Raw genomic sequence first — 23,629 nt, 5'->3', positions numbered from 1 at the left:
TTTTTTGTTTTTTGTTTTTTGTTTTTTTTGAGACAGAGTCTTGCTCTGTCACCCAGGTTGGAGTGCAGTGGCGCGATCTCGGCTCACTGCAAGCTCCGCCTCCCGGATTCACGCCATTCTGCTGTCTCAGCCTTCCCAGCAGATGGGACTACAGGCGCACGCCGCCACACCTGGCTAATTTTTTTGTATTTTTAGTAGAGACGGGGTTTCACCGTGTTAGCCAGGATGGTCTCGATCTCCTGACCTCGTGATCCGCCTGCCTCAGCCTCCCAAAGTGCTGGGATTACAGGCTTGAGCCACTGTGCCTGGCCCTTAAGTTTTAAAGATATGATAAGACTGGCGACAGAGCAAGAAAACTGAGAAAGAATGTAGATTTTCTCCAAGGAGTTTCAGAGCATATTTTTTGTTATCAGAGATCTAGGGTAATTTTTATGGTTTCTTTTTCCTAAGAGTACGATAGTCCAGTAGACTTTTTTGTGGTTTCGGCCTAAACATGGGAATGCCTGGAGCTGATGAGATTTGATTACAGAGCCCCAGGAAGTAGGAGGAATTGTAAGGTACAGTGAAGCAAGCCTGGCTGCTCATTCCCAGAGCCTGTGTTAGGTCTATTTTCTGGCTATCAGTATATACATGTCACCTGTATATCTTGGGCCTGGAAAACAGGCTGGGGTGCTTTCTGTGAATTTTATAGGAAAAGAGAAGTTAAAGTAGGCAGCTGGGCATTGAAAGGATATTTGGAGAAGTTTTAGGTCTAAAAGAAATTTGCTAAGGAGAATAGGGCCAAGTTTTGAGGAGGGTAAGTGTAAGTCAGGGGCCCAGATATCCGAAAGACCTTCTGGGGGATCAGGGACAGGGACTTGGGGGTTGAGCAGAGCACAGGTGGGTGGAGGAGGATAATTTACAGAGGGTGCAGATTTCAACTTTTTTTCTACATCTGATTTCTGTTCTTTAATATTGAGGAAGATTAAAGGAAGTCCCTAAAGCTAACCATATTTATTTTATTTTATTTTTTTTTTTGAGATAGAGTCTGGCTCTGTCACCCAGGCTGGAGTGCAATGGCATGATCTCGGCTCACTGCAAACTCAGCCTCCTGGGTTCAAGTGATTCTCCTGCCTCAGCCTCCTGAGTAGTTGGGACTACAAGCGCACGCCACCACGCCCGGCTAATTTTTGTATGTTTAGTAGAGATGGGGTTTCAACATTTTGGCCAGGATGGCTTCGATCTCTTGATCTCATGATCCACCCACCTTGGCCTCCCAAAGTGCTGGAATTACAGGCATGAGCCACCGTGCCTGGCCTATATTTCTTTGTGTCTTCTTTTTAATTTGATATTTCTCTAGTTACCAATAGGACGGTTGTTTGGGATGAAAGCACCCTTTTTTGTGGGGGGGGACGGTTTACAGATGGGGTCTCACTGTGTTGCCCAGGCTGGAGTGCAGTAGTGGCAAGATCATAGCTCACTGCAGCTCAACCTCCTGGGCTCAAGCGATCCTCCCACCTCAGTCTCCCACAAGGTTGAGATTACAGGTGTGAGCCACCACACCTGGCCAATAGCACGCTTTAATAAAAATACTTTTAGGCTGGGCACAGTGGCTCATGCCTGTAATCCCAGCACTTTGGGAAGCTGAGGCAGGCAGATCATGAGGTCAGGAGTTCGATACCAGCCTGGCCAACATGGTGAAACCCCGTCTCTACTAAAAATACAAAAAATTAGCCAGGCATGGTGGCAGATGCCTGTAATACCAGCTACTCGGGAGGCTGAGGCAGGAGAATCACTTGAATCCACGAAACAGAGGTTGCAGTGAGCCAAGACTGCACCACTGCACTCCAGCTTGGGCAACAGAGCGGAACTCTGTCTTAAAAAAAAAAAAAAAAAAAGCTTTTAGATTCAAAAGTCCAAATCTTCAATGTTATACCTACTTTAATTGTGACTCAAAACCAATAAGCCTTTTTATGGCTTAAAATCAGTATGCCTTTTCTGGCTTAACTGGAGGCACAGAAGAGCATCCCAAACAGGCTGGAAAAGATACAATCCCCCTCAAGATCCAAAGTCTTTTTCAAGATAGCCTAAGCAGGCAAATATCCTAATTGTTATCAAGGCAATGAAAGCTGAGACAAGTAGGACAAACTCCTCTGAGAGCTGGAACCGTTGGACAGAGACACTGTGTTTCTGATTCCTGGGCAGCTGGCTAGCAGCCTAACAAGGACTTGTCCTCCCAACCCCTGCAGCTGGCAGAAACCAAAGAGAATATTTCAATTGGTCACAGAGCCATGTTCTCAAGACATAAAACAAGATATGATAAACCACACAACAGAGACATGGAAAACAAGCCTTATTTCTGGGAGGCTGTGGGTCAATAGCCACTATGTATGCAGAGCCAAATACCAAATTCGGAAGTGTGAAATCAAATAATTCTTTTTTTTTTTTTTTTGAGACAAGGTCTCCCTCTGTCACCCAGGCTGGAGTGCAGTGCTGCAATCATGGCTCACTACAGCCTCAAACTCCCAGGATCATGCAATCCTCCCACCTCAGCCTCCTGAGTAGCTGGGACTACAGGTGCCCGCCACCATGCCGGGCTAATTTTTGTATACTTAGTAGAGACGGGGTTTCGCTGTGTTGGCCAGGCTGGTCTCAAACTCCTTTCTTAAGTTATCCAGCCACCTCAGCTTCCCAAAGTGCTGGGATTACAGGCGTGAGCCACCACCAAGCTGTTGGAACTTTACATTATTATGAGCCTCAGGAGGAATGTGGCCATGTGGCCTGAGGCATGGAGCATGCAGTTGCAACTTCTGCTTTTCCCTGTAAATGGTTAGAAATGTCTGAGCAGCATCAGAGATAAGATGACCTCAGAGCTTGACTTCTTCTCACAGAATGTTGAAACAATTTTCCTTGGAATGTAGCAAGCTGTACTAATGGAATCTAACATACTGGATTTGTACAGAAGATGTTGCAATCCTGCTGACACTGTTTCTGCCTCTATGAGTGAAACCTTAGCTTCCCCACTTTGGAGCAATGACCCCAACCCTTTGGAAGCTGTTTCCTGGGTGTCCATCCTCAAGCTTTGCACTAGAATAAAAATCATATTTCCTTTGGTTTTTTTTGTTTTTGTTTTTTGGAGACTAGGTCTGTGTCACCCAGACTGGAATGCAGTGATGTAATTATAGCTCACTGCAGCCTCCAACTCCTGGGTTCAAGTGATCCTTCCACCTTGGCCTCCCAAAGTGCTGGGATTACAAGCATAAGCCAACGTGCCTAGCTGATATTTTCTGAATCTCATTATTTAAGGTTGACATAAGAGTCATAACTCAAAGAATCAATTCTTACCATGCTTTTCTCCTGCCAGTTTGAATTTAGAAAGGGACAAGGAAAAATTTTACTCTCCTCTTTCAACCAGGCATTACAGACAGAGATCCAGAAGAGTTCACTTTGGGCTGGGCGCAGTGGCTCATGCCTGTAATCCCAGCACTTTGGGAGGCCGAGGCAGGCGGATCACGAGGTCAGGAGATTGAGACCATCCTGGCTAACACGGTGAAACCCCGTCTCTACCAAAAATACAAAAAAAAATTAGCCGGGCGTGGTGGCGGGTGCCTGTAGTCCCAGCTACGTGTGAGGCTGAGGCAGGAGAATGGCGTGAACCCAGGAGGCAGAGCTTGCAGTGAGCCGAGATCGTGCCACTGCACTCCAGCCTGGGCTACAGAGCGAGACTCCGTCTCAAAAAAAAAAAAAGAGTTCACTTTGGTAAGAATTCCTACCTGTGCCCGCTTTTATTTGTTCTCCCAGGATCCCATCTTTAGGCTTGAGAGGATCCCATCCTTGTCACCAGAAACTGTAGGGGTGGCAAAACTCCACTTCCATCCCTAGAGTCTCAGCTGGGCCCAAGAATTAAATTGACATAGGACAGGTTAACAGAAGAAAAGCACATAAATTTATTTATATGCTATTCTACATCTGATTTCTGTTCTTTAATCTTGCGAACAGAGTCCCTAAGGCTAGCCATTATATTTATTTATAAATAAGGGGTGCTGGAGTGCAGTGGTGAGATCACAGCTCATTGCAGCCTCAAACTCCTGGGCTCAAGCTATCCTCCCACCTCAGCCTCCTGAGTAGCTGGAACTGCAGGTACATGCCACCCACCACACCAATCTAATTAAAAAAAAAAAGTGTTGAACCGGGATCTCACTATATTGCCCAGACTGGTCTTGAACTCCTGGACTCAAGCAAGCCCCCCTCGGCCTCCCAAAGCACTGGGATCACAGGAGTGAGCCACCACACAGTCCCACAAATTTATTGAGTACAAGTTTTACATGGGTTGGGAACCCTCATAAGGACATTTGAAGACCCAAAGAAGAAGTTAGAGTCTGTTACTTATACACTGAATTGGACAAATAATAATAAGTTATGAAGAGGCAACTAAATTATATGGGGAGGCTTAAAAGATAACAGTGTTTTAACAAGGTCTGTATAGAATTCTCTCATTTCAACTTCTCATCCTTGAAGATAAGAATGTTGCATCTTTCACATGGCAACTTCATCTCCTGCATTTTAGAAATAGCACAGGCCTGGTTGGGTGGCTCACGCTTGTAATCCCAGCACATTGGGGAGGTTGAAGCAGGTGTATCACTTGAGGAAATGAGTTTGAGACTAACCTGGCCAACATGGGAAAACCCCATTTCTACTAAAAATACAAAATTTAGCCTGGTGTGACAGTGCACGCCTGCAGTCCCCAGCCATTCGGGAGGCTGAGACATGAGAATCGTTTGAATCCTGAAGGCAGAGGCTACAGTGAGCCAAGATCACTCCACTTCACTCCAGCCTGGGCGACAGAGTGAGACTCTGTCTCAAAAATAAAAAATAAAATTAAAACGAGCTATTCAGCCATGAAAAGTCATAGAGGAATCTCAAATGCATATTATTAAGGGAAAGAAGCCTGAAAAGGCAATATACTCTATAATCCCAACTATATAAGATTCTGCAAAAGTAAGACTAGACTATGGAGACAGGAAAAAGATCGGTGGTTGCCAGGTGTTAGCAGGGAGGGACAGGCAGAGCACAGAGGGTTTTTAGGGCAATGAAACTACTGTGTGTGATACAATAATGGTGTGTCTATGTGTCATTACACATTTGTCCAAACCCATAGAATGTACAACCGGAAGAATGAACCCTAATGTAAACTATAGACCTTGGGTGATAATGATGTGTCAATGTAGGTTAATCGATTGTAACAAATATGCCCCTTTGGTGCTGGATGTCAGTAGTGGGAGAGGGGGCTACACGTGTGTGGGAGCAGAAGTATATGGGAACTGTACTTTCTGCTCAATATTGCTGTGAACATAAAACTGCTCTGAAAACTCAACTTTTTTTTTTTTTAGATACAGGGTCTTGCTATGTTGCCCAGGCTGGAGTGAAGAGGCTATTCACAGGTATGATCAAGCTCACTGCAGCCTTGAGCCTCCTAGGCTCAAGCCATCCTCCCAACTCAGCCTTCTGAGTAACTGAGACTACAGGCGTGTACCACCATTCCCAGCTAATAAAGTCTATTTTTAAAAAATCACTTGACGATAAATGTAACTGTTTATTTGTGGACTGTCAATTCTATTCCGTTCATCTATGTGTCTACTCTTATGTCACCACCACAATCTTGATTACAGTCATTTTGCAATCAGTTTAGAAATCAGGAATTGTAAGTCCTCCAAAACTTTTTCAAAAGTATTTTGACTATTCTGGATCCCTTGCATTTCCACATGAATTTTGATGATTTTTGCAAAACAGGTAGTTGGGATTTCAATAGGAATTGCACTCAATCTATGCAACCCCTGAATCTGTAGACCAGTTTGGGGAATACTGCCATTTTATATTTAAAGTCTTACAGTCTATGAACATGGGATGTCTTTCCATTTATTTATGTTGCCTTTAATTTCTTTCTTTACTTTTTTCTTTTTTTTTTGAGACAGGGTCTGACTATCACCCAAGCTGGAGTGCAGTGGCACAAACATGCCTCACTGCAACCTCAACCTCCCAGGCTCAAGAAATCCTTCCACCTCAACACCACCCCCGACTCCCAGTAGCTGAGACCACAGGCACATGCCACCATGCCCATATAATTTTTTTACCTTTCCGTAGAGGTGAGGTCTCCCTATGTTACCCAGGCAAAATACCCAAGTATTTTGGCTATTCTGGATCCCTTGCATTTCCATATGAATTTTTTGTTTTTTGTTTTTTATTTTTTTTTGAGACAGAGTCTTGCTCTGTCACCCACGCTGGAGTGCAATGGCGCCATCTCAGCTCATTGCAACCTCTGCCTCCCGGGTTCAAGCGATTCTCCTGCCTCAGCCTCCCAAGTAGCTGCGATTACAGGCACCCACCACTTATTTTAATTTATTTATTTAGTAGTTTTGGAGACAGGGTCTTGCTTTGCCACCTAGGCTGAAGTGCAGTGACAGGATCATAGCTCACTGCAGCCTCAGACTCCTGGGTTCAAGTGATCCTCTCACCTCAGCCTCCCAAAGTGATGGGATTACCGGTGTGAGCCACTGGGCCTAGCCAAATACTGTATTTTTGATCGACATTTGGTTGAAAAATATCTATGTATTAGTAAACCTGTGTTGTTCAAGAGTCCACTGTGTTTTGCTGGGGATTTCTACATCTATATTCATAAGGGATTTTGGTCTGTGGTTTTCTTTTCTTGTGATGTCTTTGTTGAGTTTAGTGTCAGGGTAATCCTGGCCTTGCAGAATGAGTTAGAAAGTTTTTGTTTCCTGGTGGTTTGTCTTCACTGCATCACTGTGGGGTTGCTCTGTGTAGCTGTCTCACTCAGTAGTGAGGGAAATATCTCTGGAAATGTACAATTTACTGCATCAGCCCTGCTTAGTCTCACATATCCGTTGTATGTTGGTGCCTGTGGCAGAGGGTGTGGTGTCACACCTTCTCCAGGTAGATAAAAAGTCAACACTCCAAAACACTGGACACCAGCAATAAGGCAGTCATTGGTAAGGCCTTTGGGGAGCTCCCATTACAAATCTGCCTAACCCTCTGGCCTGAAGTGCCTAGACTTTTGTGGTGACATTTCAGGACAAGGGACGTCTGCTCAGGCAACACAGGGATGGGGTAAGGAAGCTACCATCCCACCGGAAGTGGGAGCCATCTGAGAAGTTCCTCAAGACAATACCAGCCAAATATTAGAAGGTATTGGCATTCTGGCCGAGGCAGAATGTTCCAAATTGGCACCATCTTGTCTGGGAGTCCATCATCCTGTCACCAGCCCAATAGGCTGGATAGGCTGCAGATGCTCCTAAGATTCCATTCCACAAACCACATGTAAGCCTGAACACATGTCTAGTATAGCGTTCTGGGGAGGCCAGGAGCCATGGTTCATGAATGTAATCACAGCCTTTTGGGAGGCCAAGAGTTCGAGACCAGCCCGGGCAGCATAGTGAGACCCAGTCTCTAAAAAAATTAAAATTAAAAAATTAGCCAGGTGTATTGTTGCATAGCTGCCTGCCTGGGGCGTGGGGCACTGGAATGCAGTACTCAGGACACAGTGGCTGTCGCTGATAAACACAAGTGGGGATCTGCTATTGGGGTCCCATAGGGCCCTCCCGGCCTGCCAGAGGTGCCTAGGCTAGGAAGGGCTGCCACTGGGGTCTGAGGAGCTCTACTCCCCCACAGGAGGGCTGCAGGCTGGTCCCAGAAGCTGCTTGCTTCCTTGCAGGACGTGGTAGCTGCAGGCTCAAAACAGCCAGAATGCATTCCCTCAATTCGCAGAACTCTCTCAAAAGGCTGCAGTCTCTTCCATTGTAAGAGTAGAGGTCAGGGACCGCCCCAGGCCACTCTGCCAGACCCATGTCTTCATCTAACTCACTGTGCCTGAAGCTCACATGACGGTGCTGTGGGGCCTGTCTGGGGCCCAGCTGGGTGGGGTTCATGTACTGGGGTGAGGGATCAAGAAGGGTGTCCGCTGCAGTAGAAAGAAGGTGGGCTGCGGACTTTCAGACGTGGCCCTTAACCTCCCCGAACTGACCTAGGCTAGTCAGTCAGCCGGCGGTCTGACCTTCTCCATCTGTGACTGAGTCACAGTCACAGGGCTTCCCTAGACCCCGGTGAGCTCCGGTAACGACCTTGCGAGGTCGGGCAGAGTGGGCAGGGTGAAATATCTGGGTGTGTGGCAGCGGGTGGGGCCGCGCGGGGGGCCTGGGATGGGGGCGGGCCCTGCGCTCGGCGCCGGCGAACTGGGCGGGCTCAGTGCTCAGAGCGGAGGCAGCGGCTGCGGCAGCAGCAGGTGGGTTGCAGCAGATCCTGCGGGGACGGGGACTGGGACGGGCTCAGGCCCAAGAACAGGCGAAGGCGCAGGTGTCCGGGGACGGGGGCGCGGCGGAGCAGGCTCTAGCAGCAGCGGCGTGTCGGACATGGGGAGGTGTGCGGGCCCAGGGCGCCCCTGCATTCCGCCTGGCGCGCGGATACCCCAGCCTGGCCACGGGTGCAGGGGCGGGGGTGTATGTAGCCGCCACTGTCTGTCTGTGGCCAGGTGGCTGCCTGGGCCACACCCGCCCCGACGCAGAGCCGCGGCTCCTGTTCCGGGTCCGGCTCGACTCTGGGGAAGCCTCGGTTTCACCTGGCTCTGGGACCCCACCACTGAGCCGTTCCCAGCCTCTCACCCTGCTCCCCCTGGAGCTGCTCCCTCCCCACCCCTCAGGGCCACCGAGCGGGTGAGCAGGTGGGGCCTCACCAGGCCTCCTTTGCTGCCTGGGATGCAGACAGGGCCTCCAGGCTTCCTGTGACCTCCTGCCCACAGGTTCTGACACCTGCCCCATTCCAGCTCTCCAGCAGGCCCCTGGTGAGGGTGTCCAGGTCCCCAGGTCAGGGACAGAGAGAGGACTGGGGGTGGTCAGACCAGGAGGGATGGAAGGCTGGTCAGGCCCCGGCTACGCATCCTGTCATTCCCCTCTGGCCCTAGCAGGTTCCAGTAGCTGGCTCGGTGCTCTTCTCGGCCACCTGCCATGGCCCGGGGGCTGCCCACCATTGCTAGCCTGGCACGCTTATGCCAGAAGCTGAACCGCCTGAAGCCGCTGGAGGACTCCACCATGGAGACGTCACTGCGGCGCTGCCTGTCCACGCTGGACCTGACTCTTCTGGGCGTGGGTGGCATGGTGGGCTCGGGTCTCTACGTGCTCACAGGTGCCGTGGCCAAGGAGGTGGCTGGCCCTGCTGTGCTCTTGTCCTTCGGTGTGGCCGCTGTGGCCTCCCTGCTGGCAGCCCTATGCTATGCAGAATTTGGGGCACGTGTGCCACGCACGGGCTCTGCCTACCTGTTCACCTACGTATCCATGGGCGAGCTGTGGGCCTTCCTCATCGGCTGGAATGTTCTCCTCGAATACATCATCGGTGGCGCCGCCGTGGCCCGTGCCTGGAGTGGCTACCTGGACTCTATGTTCAGCCACAGCATCCGCAACTTCACTGAGACCCACGTGGGTTCTTGGCAGGTGCCCCTCCTGGGCCACTACCCGGACTTCCTGGCTGCTGGCATCATCCTCCTGGCCTCTGCCTTTGTCTCCTGTGGAGCCCGCGTGTCCTCCTGGCTCAATCACACCTTCTCGGCCATCAGCCTGCTTGTCATTCTCTTCATTGTCATCCTGGGCTTCATCCTGGCCCAGCCTCACAACTGGAGCGCTGACGAAGGCGGCTTTGCACCCTTCGGCTTCTCCGGCGTCATGGCCGGCACTGCCTCCTGCTTCTATGCTTTCGTGGGCTTCGACGTCATTGCCGCCTCCAGTGAGGAGGCCCAGAACCCACGGCGGTCTGTGCCTCTGGCCATCGCCATCTCGCTTGCCATTGCAGCTGGTGCCTACATCCTTGTCTCCACCGTGCTAACCCTCATGGTGCCCTGGCACAGCCTGGACCCCGACTCAGCGCTTGCAGATGCCTTCTACCAGCGGGGCTACAGGTGGGCTGGCTTCATCGTGGCAGCTGGCTCCATCTGCGGTGAGAGACTCTTCCTGGGCAGGGTGGCAGGGAAAAGAGCAAGGGGGACCTTGTCCTCAGATTCTTGGGGAATGCACCTTCAACTGGGGCTGTTTTACTAGTTGCATAATGGGGCAAGGAAAGTGCTAATTATTAGAAACTCTTCACTTCAAAAAAAGTTTCTTCAGAAACTTTGGAAGGGACCGCCCCACACATGGTCCATAGCATATTAGTTCTGGGCATGTCCTTATAGATTATTTCCTAGGCAGAGGGACTCAGCCCTCATCCGATGCTCCAGTGGGCCTGTGACCTAACCCAGATGTCCTGTTCTTGGGCAAAGCGCTGACAATCTATTACTCCTACACAAACTCATGCTTACTCTGAGAGCCCAGACAAGCTCATGCCCTTGTTCCCAAGGAGCCACCCATGCACCGACCCCCAGCAGAGGCCCCTGGTGGGCTTCTCCGCCATGCTGACCCTCCCCACTCTCTCTGCTACAGCCATGAACACCGTCCTGCTCAGCCTCCTCTTCTCCCTGCCACGCATTGTCTATGCCATGGCCGCCGATGGGCTCTTCTTCCAGGTGTTTGCCCATGTGCACCCCCGGACACAGGTGCCTGTGGCGGGCACCCTGGCGTTCGGGCTCCTCACGGCCTTCCTGGCACTGCTGCTGGACCTGGAGTCGCTGGTTCAGTTCCTGTCCCTTGGCACACTCCTGGCCTACACATTCGTGGCCACCAGTATCATTGTGCTGCGCTTCCAGAAGTCTTCCCCGCCCAGCTCCCCAGGCCCAGCCAGCCCTGGCCCCCTGACCAAGCAGCAGAGCTCCTTCTCAGACCACCTACAGCTGGTGGGCACTGTACACGCCTCCGTCCCTGAGCCAGGGGAGCTGAAGCCAGCCCTGAGGCCCTACCTGGGCTTCTTGGATGGGTACAGCCCTGGAGCAGTGGTGACTTGGGCGCTTGGCGTTATGTTGGCCTCAGCCATCACCATAGGCTGCGTGCTTGTCTTTGGGAACTCGACCCTGCACCTCCCACACTGGGGTTACATCCTGCTGCTCCTGCTCACCAGTGTCATGTTTCTGCTCAGCCTCCTTGTCCTGGGGGCTCACCAGCAACAGTATCGGGAAGACTTATTTCAGGTACCTCCCCTAGCCAACACCCACTCACACTCGGCCCAGGCAGCTGCCTCCCCTTCCCCCACTACCATCCCAGAATGAACAAGTCTCACGGGGCTGGGGAGGACCACACACCCATCCCGCACCCCTTTCTGCATGGTGAGTGAGCACATGTCTCCACAATCTCCCGTGAGGAACAAAGGCTCTATGGATTCCCGAGAAAGTGAGCCCTGGGCTGGCAGATCTTTCCTGCAGCCCGGCCCAGCCCTGCCCTGCCTCTGCCTCCTCAGATCCCCATGGTTCCCCTGATTCCAGCCCTGAGCATCGTCCTCAACATCTGCCTCATGCTGAAACTTAGCTATCTGACCTGGGTGCGCTTCTCCATCTGGCTGCTGATGGGTGAGTGGGGGCCAGGCTGGGACCGGGGTCAGGAGGAGGGCAAAGAGGACAGGAAGGGCTGGAACCTGTACCTCAGGCTCATGCCCTGCCTCCTGCCCTGTCTAGGACTTGCAGTGTATTTCGGCTATGGCATCCGGCATAGCAAGGAGAACCAGCGGGAGCTGCCAGGGCTGAACTCCACACACTACGTGGTATTCCCCAGGGGCAGCCTGGAGGAGACAGTGCAGGCTATGCAGCCCCCCAGCCAGGCACCAGCACAGGACCCTGGCCATATGGAGTAGCTGATCAGCCCACACTTGCCCCGCCCTCCCACACCTGCTTGGGAGGCCAGAGAGGCCAGACAAGCCGAGAGCCCCTTCTGTTGTGGGCAGCCTGGGTTTGCAGGCCTGCACAGGCTGGGGAGTCCTCAGGACCTTAGGACCTTCATCCAGGGGCTGGGCTTCGGGTCTTCAGGAGTGGGCCTTGGCTGGTGCTGGTGCCATGGACTCTGCCCAGAGCCTTCTTGTTTATGATCAGCTCCAGCTACCTGGGCAGTTGTGGTGGGGTGGATGGGAAGGCCCACAGCCCAAGGGATCCATAATAATAATTGCTTGGCCAGCCATGTGGCCTGCTGGCGTATCCACTGTGGCATTCTTTGTGGCACCAAGTCTTCACCTGCCCCAGGGAACCAGGCAATTGTCTCCAATCCACATCAAAGATGCTGGGGCTCTCTAAAGAGTAGGTGCCAGTCCTGGGACCACCCTGAGTCAGGGACACAGGTGGGCCTGGATCCAGGTGCCCAGTGAAGAGGGGAGCCACACACACCAGGCAAGGAGGGTTCCATGACAGGCATGGGGTCAGGCTCCCCACGTCTGCTAGGTGGCAGATCCAGGGAGCAGAGCTTGGGCCCCAAGGAGGCTGCCTAGAAAGGGCAGCAGGGTTCTGAGCATGGCATGCACCTGAGGCCTGCCTGGCACAGGCACCCCCACGGGGACACATGCATCCCTGCAGGCACTACCCTGGGGTGCATGCCTGTGCGCAGACTGAGGCGACAGCTGTTTCTGAGCTCGGGCCCAGGCTGCAGCTCTCTTGCTGTCTTTGCCCACTCTTCAAGGGCTTTGAGGTGAAAAGAGTGTGGCCCTCATGCTCCTACATGGGTGCACAAGTGCCCAGGCCTGTTCCAGTTACCTTCTAGCCCACCTGGTAGCTGCAGGGCCTCAGTCTTCAGGGGTAGGGTCCCCAAGTCCACCCTGCACCACCCCACTGGTCTCTTCATGGCTGTGCCATGTCTACCATAGATGCCCCCCAACTTTCCAGTCATGCCTGTAAGGACTACACAGGAAGAGGGTGGCTTTGCTGGCTTTACTCCGTGACTTTGTCCAGCCATGACATCAGCTTCCTCTGGGCCCCAAGGAGAATCAGGTGCACGTGCCCCTCCTTGGATACCCAGGCCTCAGGGGCCCTGCTCTCCCACCTTCGCCCTTCAGAGCCCACCTCCCCATGGACATGGCTCTGGAGATTGAGAGGCAGCAGGGACCCCAGGCATTTTACTGAGGCTCCAGGTGGCAGGTGATTCTAGATGTCAGCCCAGTCTCAGCCCCACCCCTGGCCCTCCACAGCTTGCCCTGATCACCAGGTACCCACAGTGGAAAGCAGCCCCTTGCCTCCCTGGGGTGGACACTTAGAATTCCCTGCCCCGCCCTGGGACCAAGAGGAGAATTCCAGCTGCAAAACCTGGCCAGCCTGAGGGAGATCTCGGTGGTGTTGTTTGGAACCATTCCTTCCAGCCACTCCATCCAGCCTGGGATCAGAGCCAGGGCCTCCCTCGAGCAGCTGCCCAGACAGCTTCCTAGGTATGACTTGGACTGAAGTGAATTTCAGATGTACAGCCTCCCACAGCCTCCCACCCCCAGGGCTCTCAGGAAGCCTGGAGGAAAGATTCCAAGGGGTTGGGCTGGGGGGTTACCGAGGAGGGATATAGAAGGTCCTGAAGAACCCAATGATCACCAACTTAGCCCTGCCGCCCTCTGCTCTCTCTCCCAGACCTCCATGGCAAAAGGGCTACCACTGGAAAGCAGCCGGTCCTCATAAACTAAGCAGGTGTGGGCCCAAGACACATGCTCCGCCCTTGCCTGGGGGATAGGGAGGTGGATTATCTGCCTACTCCACCCCATTCCCTAGATTAGGACTCTCCTGGGGCATCACAGCACCAGAGAAGCTGAAACAATCCCCCTCCCCCATCACTCCTCTTTCTACCTTGCCTTTTTGGCTCCAGCTGCACAGCCCCATGTAGGACCGATGGGAGGGTGGGGTCTCTACCTATGATGGGGGTGCAGATGGGGGAGGAGGGCCAGGACCCAGGCAGCAGGAGGGTCTGTGCTGACAGCTGGTAAGCATACCTCTGCTAGGAACACTGGGGACAGAGCACTGGGAGAGAGACCTCCAGGCCCAGACGCAGCAGGAGCCCCTGCCACATGCAGTCGGAGCCCTGCAATACAGGTGCCTGCTGGGCTCTCCCAGTCTCCACGGGTCAGGTTCTGTCGCCGTCTCAAAACACAGCCGACTTCTATGGCTCCCTGAGGCAGCACCCTACCAAGGTGGGAGTCAGGGGAGGGACTGTCTGCTGGGGTTCAAGGGTGGAATTCTACCCCCAATCCTCCATGCTGGGGCCTCATCCTTGAGATCCCCAGGCAGGGCCCCGCCCTTCCCAGCCCCCAACTCTCAACCAGCAGGGAACGGCTACAGGCTCCCGGAATGGGTTGGCAAGTGGGTGTCAGAACTTGGACAGGGCCATCCTGGTGTCTGTGTCTGACTCCCAGCAGCAGTGGCCGTGGGTGCAGGTGCTGAGCTCCGTCTGAGGCACTCGGCCAGTCGGGCTTGGGATGCAAGGGCCAGCTCCCTCCACACAGAGTTGGCGGTTGCTTTCGGGGCCTTGGCCTGCAGATGAGGACAGCAGGTCAGGGATCCAGCCAACATCTTCCTAAGTGTGGCAGAACCCAGGGTCCAAGCAGAGCGACCTCAGCTCACCTCCTCATACTTTGTCCTCCAGTAGAAATGGGCTTCTCTATCCACATACAGCAGTAGCAGGTCACAGAAAAAGGTGACCTGGGAGAGGCAGGGCCAACCCATGTTCCAGCCCCCGAGCCTGCTCTCCTGCCACCTCCCCAGCCTGCACCCCGAGACTCAATGTGCAGGCACCGGAGGCTCCAGCATGCATTGGACACACCCTGGTCAGCAGCACTCACTGCAGCCTGCAGGTGCCCACAGTGCTCGCACTCACCACGCCCAGCCAAGCTGCCCCGGTGCCCAGTGTGACGGCCGTGGGGATGAGCCCGAACTTCCCTGCCTGAGAGAGATCTGAGCTGAACCTCTCAGCCCACGACTGTCAGCCTCATGCCTCCTCCAGCCCTGTCTGCCTGCCCCATCCCATCCCCGGCCTGACCCCTACCTGTGCCTACCTGCCCGGTGACGAGGATGTCGAAGCGGATTCCATAGAGCTTGAGCAGGGTGCGGGCCTCCACACCCGGTTGCTCCCACCAGTGAGTGGCTGTCCTGTGGGCAGGAAAGAAGGCTCTGGTGACCTGCTTTGCCCACCCCCAGGTGGGGCTGGCCCTGCCAGACCTCTGTCCAACTTGTCAATTGACTCTATAAACCCCCAGCCCAAGCCTGAGTCCTGGGTCTCAGCCCTATGTAATTGGTGAGAAAACAGAAAAAGCAAACGAAGACCTGTCCCTCAGAAGTTCCCTGCCTGCTGAGAGGACGGGGGACAGAGGAGTCCCTAAACAGACCCAGCAGCGGGGGATGTGAAGGGGCAGGCTCAGGGCTGAGGGATTCCAGAGATGGGAACTCACTCTTCCCTGGGAACTGGGGTAGACTTCCTGGAGGGGACATGAGGCTGGGCCTGAAGGAACATGCACACAGGTGGTTTGCCAGCACAGAGGTCAGGGGAACAGGATGTGGGTGGGAGCCAGCCCCACGTGGTTTCGAAGGGCTGGGGAGGTTGGGGAAGCCAGATCAGACGGGGTGCAGTGAGCTATGTTGAGGGGCATCATCCCCAGGCCTGGTGGTCGTGTGTGCCTGCCTGCATGACGAGGTGACGCTCGGTGGCAGAAGGATCCAATAGATCTGCTTAGAAGACTCAAAGACATGATAATAAATGCAATTTATGAAACTTGAGGCCAGGCACAGTGGCTCACACCTGTAATCCCAGCACTTTGGGAGGCTGAGGCAGGTGGATCACCTGAGGTCAGGAGTTCGAGACCAGCCTGACCAATATGGTGAAACCCCATCTCTAGTAAAAACACAAAAATTAGCTGGGTGTGGTGGTGTGCACCTGTAATCACAGCTACTCAGGAGGCTGAGGCAGGAGAATTGCTTGAACCCGAGAGGCAAAGATTGCAGTGAGCCGAGATCGGGCCACTGCACTCCAGTCTGGGCAACAAGAGCAAAACTTCATCTAAAAAAAAAAAAAAAAAAAACACAAAAAAAACAGGCTTGGTGGCTCATGCCTGTAATCCCAGCACTTTGGGAGGCTGAAGTGGGCAGATCACCTGAGGTCAGAAGTTCGAGACCAGCCTGGCCAACATGGCAAAACACCATCTCTACTAAAAATACAAAAATTAGTTGGGTGTGGTGGTGCACACCTGTCATCCCAGCTACTCTGGAGGCAGAGGCTGGAAAATCACCTGAACCCAGGAGGCAGAGGTTGCAGTGAGCCAAGACCACGCCATTGCATTCCAGCCTGGACTACAAGAAAGTGAAAACTCCGTTTCAAAAAAAAAGGTCGGGCGTGGTGGCTCACGCCTGTAATCCCAGCACTATGGGAGGCTGAGGCAGGTGGATCACGAGGTCAAGAGATCGAGACCATCCTGGCCAACATGGTGAAACCCTGTCTCTACTAAAAATGCAAAAATTAGCCGGGCGTGGAGGCGTGCACCCGTAGTCCCAGCTACTTGGGAGGCTGAGGCAGGAGAATGGCGTGAACACGGGAAGCGGAACTTGCAGTGAGCTGAGATCCCGCCACTGTACTCCAGCCTGGGCGACAGAGTGAGACTCCATCTCAAAAAAAAAAAAAAAGTTTAGGTAAAAGCGGAAGGGAGGCCAGACATGGTGGTTTACGTCTGTAATCCTAGCCCTTCGGGAGGCTGAGGTGGGTGGATCACCTGAGGTCAGGGGTTTGAGACCAGCCTGGCCAACATTGTGAAAACCCATCTCTATCTACCAAAATATAAAAATTAGCTGGGAGTAGTGGCGAGCACCTGTAATTCCAGCTACTCAGGAGGCTGAGGAAGGAGAATCGGTTGAACCCAGGAAGCAGAGGTTACAGTGAGCCGAGGTCGGGCCACTGCACTCCAGCCTGGGTGACAGAATGAGATTCTGTCTTAAAAAAAAAAAAAACAAAGCTGAAGGGGAGAAGGGGAAAGTAAAAATGAAACACCCCATTGCTGTGGAGGGGAGATACTAGAAGCGAGGTGGGGTGGAGGAAGGGCTGGCAGTGAGGAGCCTGAGCTGGGCAGGGGCCTGGGACAGATGGGGTGGAGGGCTCAGGACTTGGGGCAGCAGGACGGAGCCTGTGCTGGAGGATGTGGGGTTGAGAACAGCTCTCTCCTGCTCCTGGGACCCCCTTGCACACGTAGTGGAATATCTAGAGGCCTGGGCCTGGGTGTGGTCTGTCCTGGCCGCCACAGTGAGAGGGCGATGGGCCCAGCAGCTGGGCACTGGGAGCAGTGGGGCCTCACCTGAAGTTGTAGCTCTTCTCCTGCAGCTGGAAGGAGTAGTGAGGCCAGCAGCCAGAGTCCCCGGTGTCCAGGTCACAATCCCAGTGAACTCTGATGCCTACAGAGCCACCCTGCACATAGCACATAGCTTTTCCACCGGTGGGTGGGCCCGGGACCCTCTCCCAGAGCCCTCTAGGAACCCTGCCCCCAACTTGGGACCCACCAGCAACGCCAGGTCCTCGAAGGTCCCTCCAGCCTTGGCCACGAGGTCCCCAATGCGGAACACGGGACAGTAGGGGCTGAATTGTGGTTCATAGCGGCAGTGCTTAAAATAGGTGGGGTCCCAGGTCTCCAAGGCATTGGACCTGGGAGGAGTGGGAAAGGTCAGATGAGGTAGGGGACAAGGAGGGTCTTGGGGCAGATGAGACCCACTCTGCTTACTTAGAGAAGTTGAACTTGCTGAAGGTGACTGTGTTTTTGATGAACAGTGTGAAGTTCTGGGCCTGGGCCAGCAGGGGCCTCCTGCAGGTGGAAGGGAGGTGACAGCCTCTGCCAGGCCTGGGGCCCTGCGCCAGTTGGGGTAGGGGATTGTGGGGACACTTACGAGGGCACAACGCCACTCTCCACGGGGCACCAACTCCAGATCTCACAGGTCCTGTGGGTCCCATTGAACACCACACACTGGCCTGTTTTTACACCTAGAAAACAAAAGATGAACTCCAGACCTTCAAATCTCTGCAGGCCTGGGGAGGCCTTCAGCCAGGGGGTTGTTGGCAGAAAGAGAGATGCAGGGACAGAGGCGAGCAGGGCCTGCACTCAGGAGCCACCCAGGATCCCAGCCCGGCCCCCACCCTGCTGGGGGCACTGGAAGACAGAGCCCACAGTTACCGTGGCTGTGTGTGCCTCCCTCCCCTTCGGGGCAGTCCTCGTCGACCCAGCAGTTAGCCAGTGGGACGGACGGGTGCTGAGGTGGGAGAGAGAGCAGTCACCAATGGCACAGGGGATGTCTCCCCTCCACAGCCCAGTCTCAAAGGCAGGGAGGTTCAAGGTGGGAAGGACAGGCCCCCTTCCCACCTTAAACAACCTCACCACCCCGCCGCCAGAGTACCCTGAGTGTGGGGCCACACAGGAAAGCTGGAGGGTGCAAATAAAAGGAGGTGGTCAGAGGAGGGAGCGGAGCAATGCCCTGGCCAGATGAAGGTACAGTACTGTATTTCAAAGACAAAGGGAGACCCCTTTCCTCCTTTTTCAAAAAATTTATTTTTAGTGATTCGGTCTCACTCTGTTGTCCAGGCTCTAGTGCAGTGGTATGATCATGGCTCACTACAGCCTCGCCCTCCCGGGCTTAAGCAATCCTCTCACCTCAGTATTCCCAGTAGCTGGGACTACAGACACACACCACTGTGCCTGGCTGATTTTTTAATATTTTTTTTTTGTAGAGATGGAGTCTTGCTATGTTGACCAGGCTGGTTTTTAACTCCTGGCCTCAAGCAATCCTTCTGTCTCAGCCTCCCAGAGTGCTGGGATTACAGGCGTGAGACAACGCACCCTGCCCCTTCCCTCCTGACAGTTCTGTCCCTGGTGGATGCGGAAGTGATTCTTCCAGGTCTAGCTCCTCTGGTCCAATTTGGATGACAGATCAGGGAAGGTGAAGATACCTTGGGAGGGTGAGTTTTTGATGCCCGGCATGGGGACATAGCTGACAAAGATCAGGGCCCTAGAGTCAGGGGCTTGGGTATTGAAGCAGGACCCCACACCCTTGCTGAGGGACCACAGGCTACTCCTTCCTGCTCGCTCTTCTGTAACCTGGGGACATTAATGCCTGCACAGAGGCATAGGACTATGGGGCTCTGGCAGAAGGGGAGGACAGGTGAGCTTTCTGGGGTCCCAGACCCCAGAGACGAAGGCACCCTTGAGCATCGGGCACTCTCCCAGGCATGGTCCTGCCCCAACTGAGGATGGACACTGCTGCCCAGGGCACTCAGCTCAGGGGCAGCAGGAAGAACACCAGCACCAGGGGCGCAAGGAAGGCTGAGGGCCTCTGAGAAGCCAGAATGAGGCGGTGGGACTTTCTGAAAGACAGGGCCGTCGTGATTGGGTGGAGGTCGGAGCAGAGCCACATGCTCTGCTTCTTTGTCCCTACCTATGTCCTGTGTCTGCCTCTCCTCTTCACCCCAGCTGGGCTACCGTCTCCTCCAACTAGACCCCACAGTGACCACCAGTGGGGCCCCCACGTCTTCCCATACCCTCATCCACCTATGCCCAGCAGCCCAAGTGGTGCATCCCAATGTGCAGGAAACTGAGCACCCTGCCTCTGAGCCCACGTGTGGCTCTCTTCTGTTCCTCTAATCAAGTTTAGCTCCTGCCAGGCACAGTGGCTCACGCCTGTAATCCTAGCACTTTGAGAGTCCAAAGTAGGCGGATTGCCTGAGCTCAGGAGTTCGAGACCAGCCTGGGCAACAAAGCAAGACCTCATTGCTACAGGAAAAAAAAGAAAAGAGAAAAAGAAAACAAACAAACAAAAACAGTTTAGCTCCTTAGTGGGGCTTACAGGGGCCCCTGAAATCCTGAACTACCTTCTTCCCACCCCAGTCCAAATCTTCACTTCAGCTCCACCCAGTGGCAGGTAGCCCTAAAGGCACCTCACCTCACACAGCTCAGGGCCTTTACCCACCAAGCCCCCTCTGTGTCGACATCCTGCTTCAACCAAATCCACCTGCTCACCAGCTTCTCCCCACCTTTTTTTAAGATTCTGCTTGGCCTGGCACACCTGTAATCCCAACACTTTGAGAAGCCAAGGTGGGCGGATTACCTGAGGTCAGGAGTTTGAGACCAGCCTGGCCGACACAGCAAAACCCTGTCTCTATTAAAAATACAAAAATTAGCCGAGTGTGGTGGTGTGTGCCTGTAGTCCCACCTACTTGGGAGGCTGAGGCAGGAGAATCGCTTGAACCAAGGAGGTGGAGGTGTGCAGTGAGCCGAGATCACGCCACTGCACTCCAGCCTGGGTGACAGAGCGAGACTCTGTCTCAAAAAAAAAAAAAAGAAAAAAAAAAAAAAGATTCTGCTCAAGTGCAGCCCTAGGTCCCCCACCTACAGCCTCTGTCCCATCATAGGACCTGCCACCTGGGCTGGGCTGTCCATGTGGGTGGTCTTTGAAGTATGGGAGATGGAGTTTTGTGAATTTAGCCTAGCTAGCCCCCTGGCCCAGCGGGGAGGCTCAGCGGTGTCTGCTGAGGGAGGTGACACTATAAAGAGCATGGTGCATGTAAGGGAGGGATCAGGCACCAGGATCCCTAGAGGAGCTGGCAGAACTCTGGTCTTCCGGGAAAGCCAGGTTGTCAGATCTGATAATTACGACCCAGCCCTGACGTTTCATGGGAAGAGCCAGAAGTGTGGTTGCAGACAAAGAGGAATTGCACAGATTCTGAAAAACACAGACCCACAGATCCAGCCAAATTTCAGAACGGTCTACAAACTGAACACTAAATGCACATCTGAGCATTAAGAAAGAGAAGGACATTGTGTGGGTTCACCAAGAGTAAGCACATCCTGCCAGGCACAGTGGCTCATGTTGGGAAGAGGCCCCCAAAATCTGGCCATAAACAAAATCTCTGCAGCACTGTGACATGTTTGTGATAGCCACGACACCCACACTGGAAGTTTGTGGGTTTACCGGAATGAGGGCAAGGAAAACCTGGCCCACCCAGGGCGGAAAACCGCTTAAAGGCGTTCTTAAACCACAAACAATAGCATGAGCGATCTGTGATTTAAGGACATGCTCCTGCTGCAGCTAACCAACCAGAGCCCATCCCTTTGTTTCCCATAAGGAATACTTTTAGTTAATCTATAATCTATAGAAACAATGCTTATCACTGGCTTGCTGTCAATAAATATGTGGGTAAATCTGTTCGAGGCTGTCAGCTCTGAAGGCTGTGATACCCCTGATTTCCCACTCCACACCTCTATATTTATGTGTGTTTGTCTTTAATTCCTTTAGCACCGCTGGGTTCAGGTCTCCCCGACCAAGCTCTCGGCAGGCTCACGCCTGTAATCCCAGCACTTTGAGAGGCCGAGGCTGGTGGGTCACCTGAGGCCAGGAGTTCGAGACCAGCCTGGCCAACATGGTGAAACCCCGTCTCTACTTAAAATACAAAAATTAGCTGGGCACAGTGGCGGGCACCTGTAATCCCAGCTACTCAGGGGGTGAGCAGGAGAACTGCTTGAACCCAGGAGGCGGAGGTTGCAGTGAGCCGAGATCGTGCCATTGAACTCCAGCCTTGGGGACAAGAGCAAGACTCCATCTCAAAAAAACAAACAAACAAAAAGAGTAAGCAATCCTTTGTGCATATTTCCAACTACGGACATGGGATGTCTCCAGCAACTGTGCTAGGACCAGCCACCAGGGCTCAGGGGACAGCTGTCTGCACAACGACCCTCCAGCCCAGGAGGCACGTAAATGTTGGACTTGCCTAAAGATGTCACTGTGGAGGTAAACTTTCAGGACTATGTCCTGAGTCCCAATAGTTCAAACAAAATTCACAGCTGGAGAGAATGAGCATGCTCTGTGACAGATGCAGGATCCCAGGGACATCCCCAGGCAAGGGGAAAAGGTGAAATGTCAGGGGGAGAATCAGCATTTCTGGATCAGAAATGAAGAAGAACAAGGTGGGGGACTCTGGCTTGACCACGGTTGATGTAAAAACTATCCAGAAATCAGGCCGGGCGTGGTGGCTCACGCCTGTAATCCCAGCACTTTGGGAGGCCGAGGCAGGTGGATCATGAGGTCAGGAGATGGAGACCATCCTGGCTAACACCGTGAAACCCCGTCTCCACTAAAAATACAAAAAAAAAAAAAAATTAGCTGGGCGTGGTGGCAGGCGCCTGTAGTACCAGCTACTCCGGAGGCTGAGGCAGGAGAATGGCGTGAACCTGAGAGGCAGAGCTTGCAGTGAGCTGATATCTGCCACTGCACTCCAGCGTGGGTGACAGAGTGAAACTCCGTCTCAAAAATAAAACAAAAAAAACTATCCAGAAATCATAAGCAATCCTGAATTCACCATGAGCAAGAGTGTGCTGTGTTGGCCCACAAAGATGAAAGCTGCCTCAGGACATATTAATAGAGGCTGGGCACAGACAAGGGGAGGTGATATTCCAGCTTGGCTCTTGCTATTAGAACCTCCCTGAGCATGTGCGCAGCTCTGGGTGTCACACTACCAACCTGGAGAGTACCCAGAGGCAGGACCAGGATGGGAGGGCCTGGACACCTCATGGGAACTGCTGCTGCCCAGAGCTCGGGGTCCTGTCACCCACAGGCCTGGAGGCCTTAAGAAAGTGACTCAACCTCACTGAGCCTCAGTCTTCTCCTCTGAAATGGGGATCACAGGACTTCCTACCAGGCAGGGGATATGTGAAGACTGAACATAATGATTCAGGAAAAGATGTAGCCCAGTGCCTGGGGGACACCGAGCACAGGCTGAGCCTTCAGCCACCTGGGAAGGGGAAAGGGAAACACGGGTGGCCCCCTGGGGCTGATGGAGGAACAAGGGACCCGCTGGGAGGATCCTGGGTAAACTCACCTCTGGGCATCTGCCCTGAACTTGGGCTGGCGTCACAAGGAAGTTGGTCACCAAGAAGAACACGTTCTCTCCCTAGGAGGCAAGTCTCAAGGTTGGCCTGGCTGGGCTCGTGTTGACTGGAAAGGCCGGAAGCCGGCAGCCTGGTTTATGAGGGAAGGGATGTTGGCCCCATCAAGTCATTAACCCTGTCCCCCTGTAAGGCAGACTGAAGCAGAGATGGGAGGCTGGCAGTGGTTCTGGCCATTTTTGAGACCAGGAAGCCTTGTGCCCATGTCCATCTCTTGAGACAAGTCTCTTGTCTCAACCAAAATTTGTGTGTGTGTGTGCATGTGTATGTGTGTATTTAGAGACAGGATTACACTTCGTCACCCAGGCTGGAGTGTAGTGTTGTGATCAGTGCTCACTGCAACCTCTAACTCCTGGACTCAAGAGGTCCTCCTGCCTCAGCCTCCCAAGTAGCTGGGACTACAGGCTCCAGCTACCATGCCTGGCTCCAACCAGAATATTCCAACAGCCTGCTGCTTCTAGTACTGAAGATCCAAGGGAGAGCTGGGCCCAGCACCTGCTCAGGATGGAGACGAGGTGAGTCTCCCATCTCACACACAGCAGCACTGGCATGGCAGGGGCCAAGGGAGAAGAGGGAAAGCTGTGTCTGTGGTCAACGGGTGGCCGAGGACATTGGAAAGAAAGGCTGACCCTCCAGTGCTGCTCGTGAGAGCACTGTGAATTTGGGGAATGTATGCCCAGGAAGGGAAGGTGAGGGCTGGCCAGATGGTGCTGGGAGTGGCAGCCATTAGGATTGGGAGGAAAGTGTGGACACCGTCATGGGCAGGGTTGGGGGAATTCCTGAGGGTAGAAGCAGGCGCTGCAGGCTCTCATGATGC

General features: G+C 53.6%; 2 protein-coding genes and 1 non-coding gene across 33 annotated transcripts in view, besides 1 other annotated feature; 2 read left to right on the top strand and 1 right to left on the bottom strand.

Annotated features, from left to right (window-relative positions):
- The first annotated feature begins 6,533 nt into the window (after window positions 1–6,533).
- On the top strand, window positions 6,534–6,630 carry MIR649 (microRNA 649). The gene has a single exon (NR_030379.1). It is a non-coding gene; the product is annotated as a microRNA 649 (primary transcript).
- Window positions 8,189–8,699: an enhancer, noted in NCBI's record as "H3K27ac-H3K4me1 hESC enhancer chr22:21386396-21386906 (GRCh37/hg19 assembly coordinates)". NCBI's record gives its function as "activates a minimal SCP1, AML or CMV promoter by ChIP-STARR-seq in naive H9 embryonic stem cells {active_cell/tissue: H9 hESC(naive)}" and the evidence as "EXISTENCE:reporter gene assay evidence [ECO:0000049][PMID:30033119]".
- On the top strand, window positions 8,245–12,088 carry SLC7A4 (solute carrier family 7 member 4). 2 transcript variants are annotated; one of them, NM_004173.3, is made up of 5 exons: window positions 8,245–8,275; window positions 8,954–9,975; window positions 10,455–11,095; window positions 11,362–11,470; window positions 11,576–12,088. In NM_004173.3, exons 2-5 carry the CDS (start codon window positions 8,994–8,996, stop codon window positions 11,749–11,751), a joined length of 1,908 nt encoding a protein of 635 aa, NP_004164.2. In that variant the 5' UTR covers window positions 8,245–8,275; window positions 8,954–8,993; the 3' UTR covers window positions 11,752–12,088. The 2 variants fall into 2 exon arrangements, with proteins under 2 accessions (NP_004164.2, XP_047297428.1); XM_047441472.1 differs by having other exon boundaries at window positions 8,245–9,975.
- A 709-nt stretch (window positions 12,089–12,797) lies between these two features.
- The window catches only part of P2RX6 (purinergic receptor P2X 6), an 18,210-nt gene continuing 7,378 nt past the window's right edge, over window positions 12,798–23,629 (bottom strand). For 5 of the 30 annotated variants that reach the window (XM_017029075.2, NM_001394696.1, NM_001394697.1 and 2 more), the window contains 9 exons: window positions 22,746–22,817; window positions 17,771–17,864; window positions 17,608–17,688; window positions 17,390–17,531; window positions 17,188–17,297; window positions 14,908–15,001; window positions 14,730–14,795; window positions 14,477–14,554; window positions 12,798–14,386 (listed from right to left, as the gene is read on the bottom strand). In XM_017029075.2, coding sequence (XP_016884564.1) covers window positions 14,189–14,386; window positions 14,477–14,554; window positions 14,730–14,795; window positions 14,908–15,001; window positions 17,188–17,297; window positions 17,390–17,531; window positions 17,608–17,688; window positions 17,771–17,864; window positions 22,746–22,755 — 873 coding nt within the window. In that variant the 5' untranslated portion in view covers window positions 22,756–22,817 and the 3' untranslated portion in view covers window positions 12,798–14,188. Of the gene's footprint in view, window positions 14,387–14,476; window positions 14,796–14,897; window positions 15,002–17,187; window positions 17,298–17,389; window positions 17,532–17,607; window positions 17,689–17,770; window positions 17,865–18,054; window positions 18,131–22,745; window positions 22,886–23,629 lie in introns of those variants that run through there. The other 25 variants (XR_937952.3, XR_007067992.1, NM_005446.5 and 22 more) reach the window with 19 other exon arrangements.

Source organism: Homo sapiens, chromosome 22, assembly GCF_000001405.40.
Source record: "Homo sapiens chromosome 22, GRCh38.p14 Primary Assembly".
NCBI lineage: Eukaryota > Metazoa > Chordata > Mammalia > Primates > Hominidae > Homo > Homo sapiens.
The sequence above is the reverse complement of the archived record's forward strand: the minus strand, read 5'-3'. Positions and strand labels throughout refer to the sequence as shown.

Excerpts from the sequence above, each read along its gene's own strand:
- SLC7A4 (NM_004173.3), top strand. The coding sequence starts at position 8,994 with ATGGCCCGGGGGCTGCCCACCATTGCTAGCCTGGCACGCTTATGCCAG. Across the intron at positions 11,096-11,361 it reads ATCGGGAAGACTTATTTCAG|ATCCCCATGGTTCCCCTGAT; the intron begins GTACCTCCCCTA and ends CTGCCTCCTCAG. Across the intron at positions 11,471-11,575 it reads CTCCATCTGGCTGCTGATGG|GACTTGCAGTGTATTTCGGC; the intron begins GTGAGTGGGGGC and ends TGCCCTGTCTAG.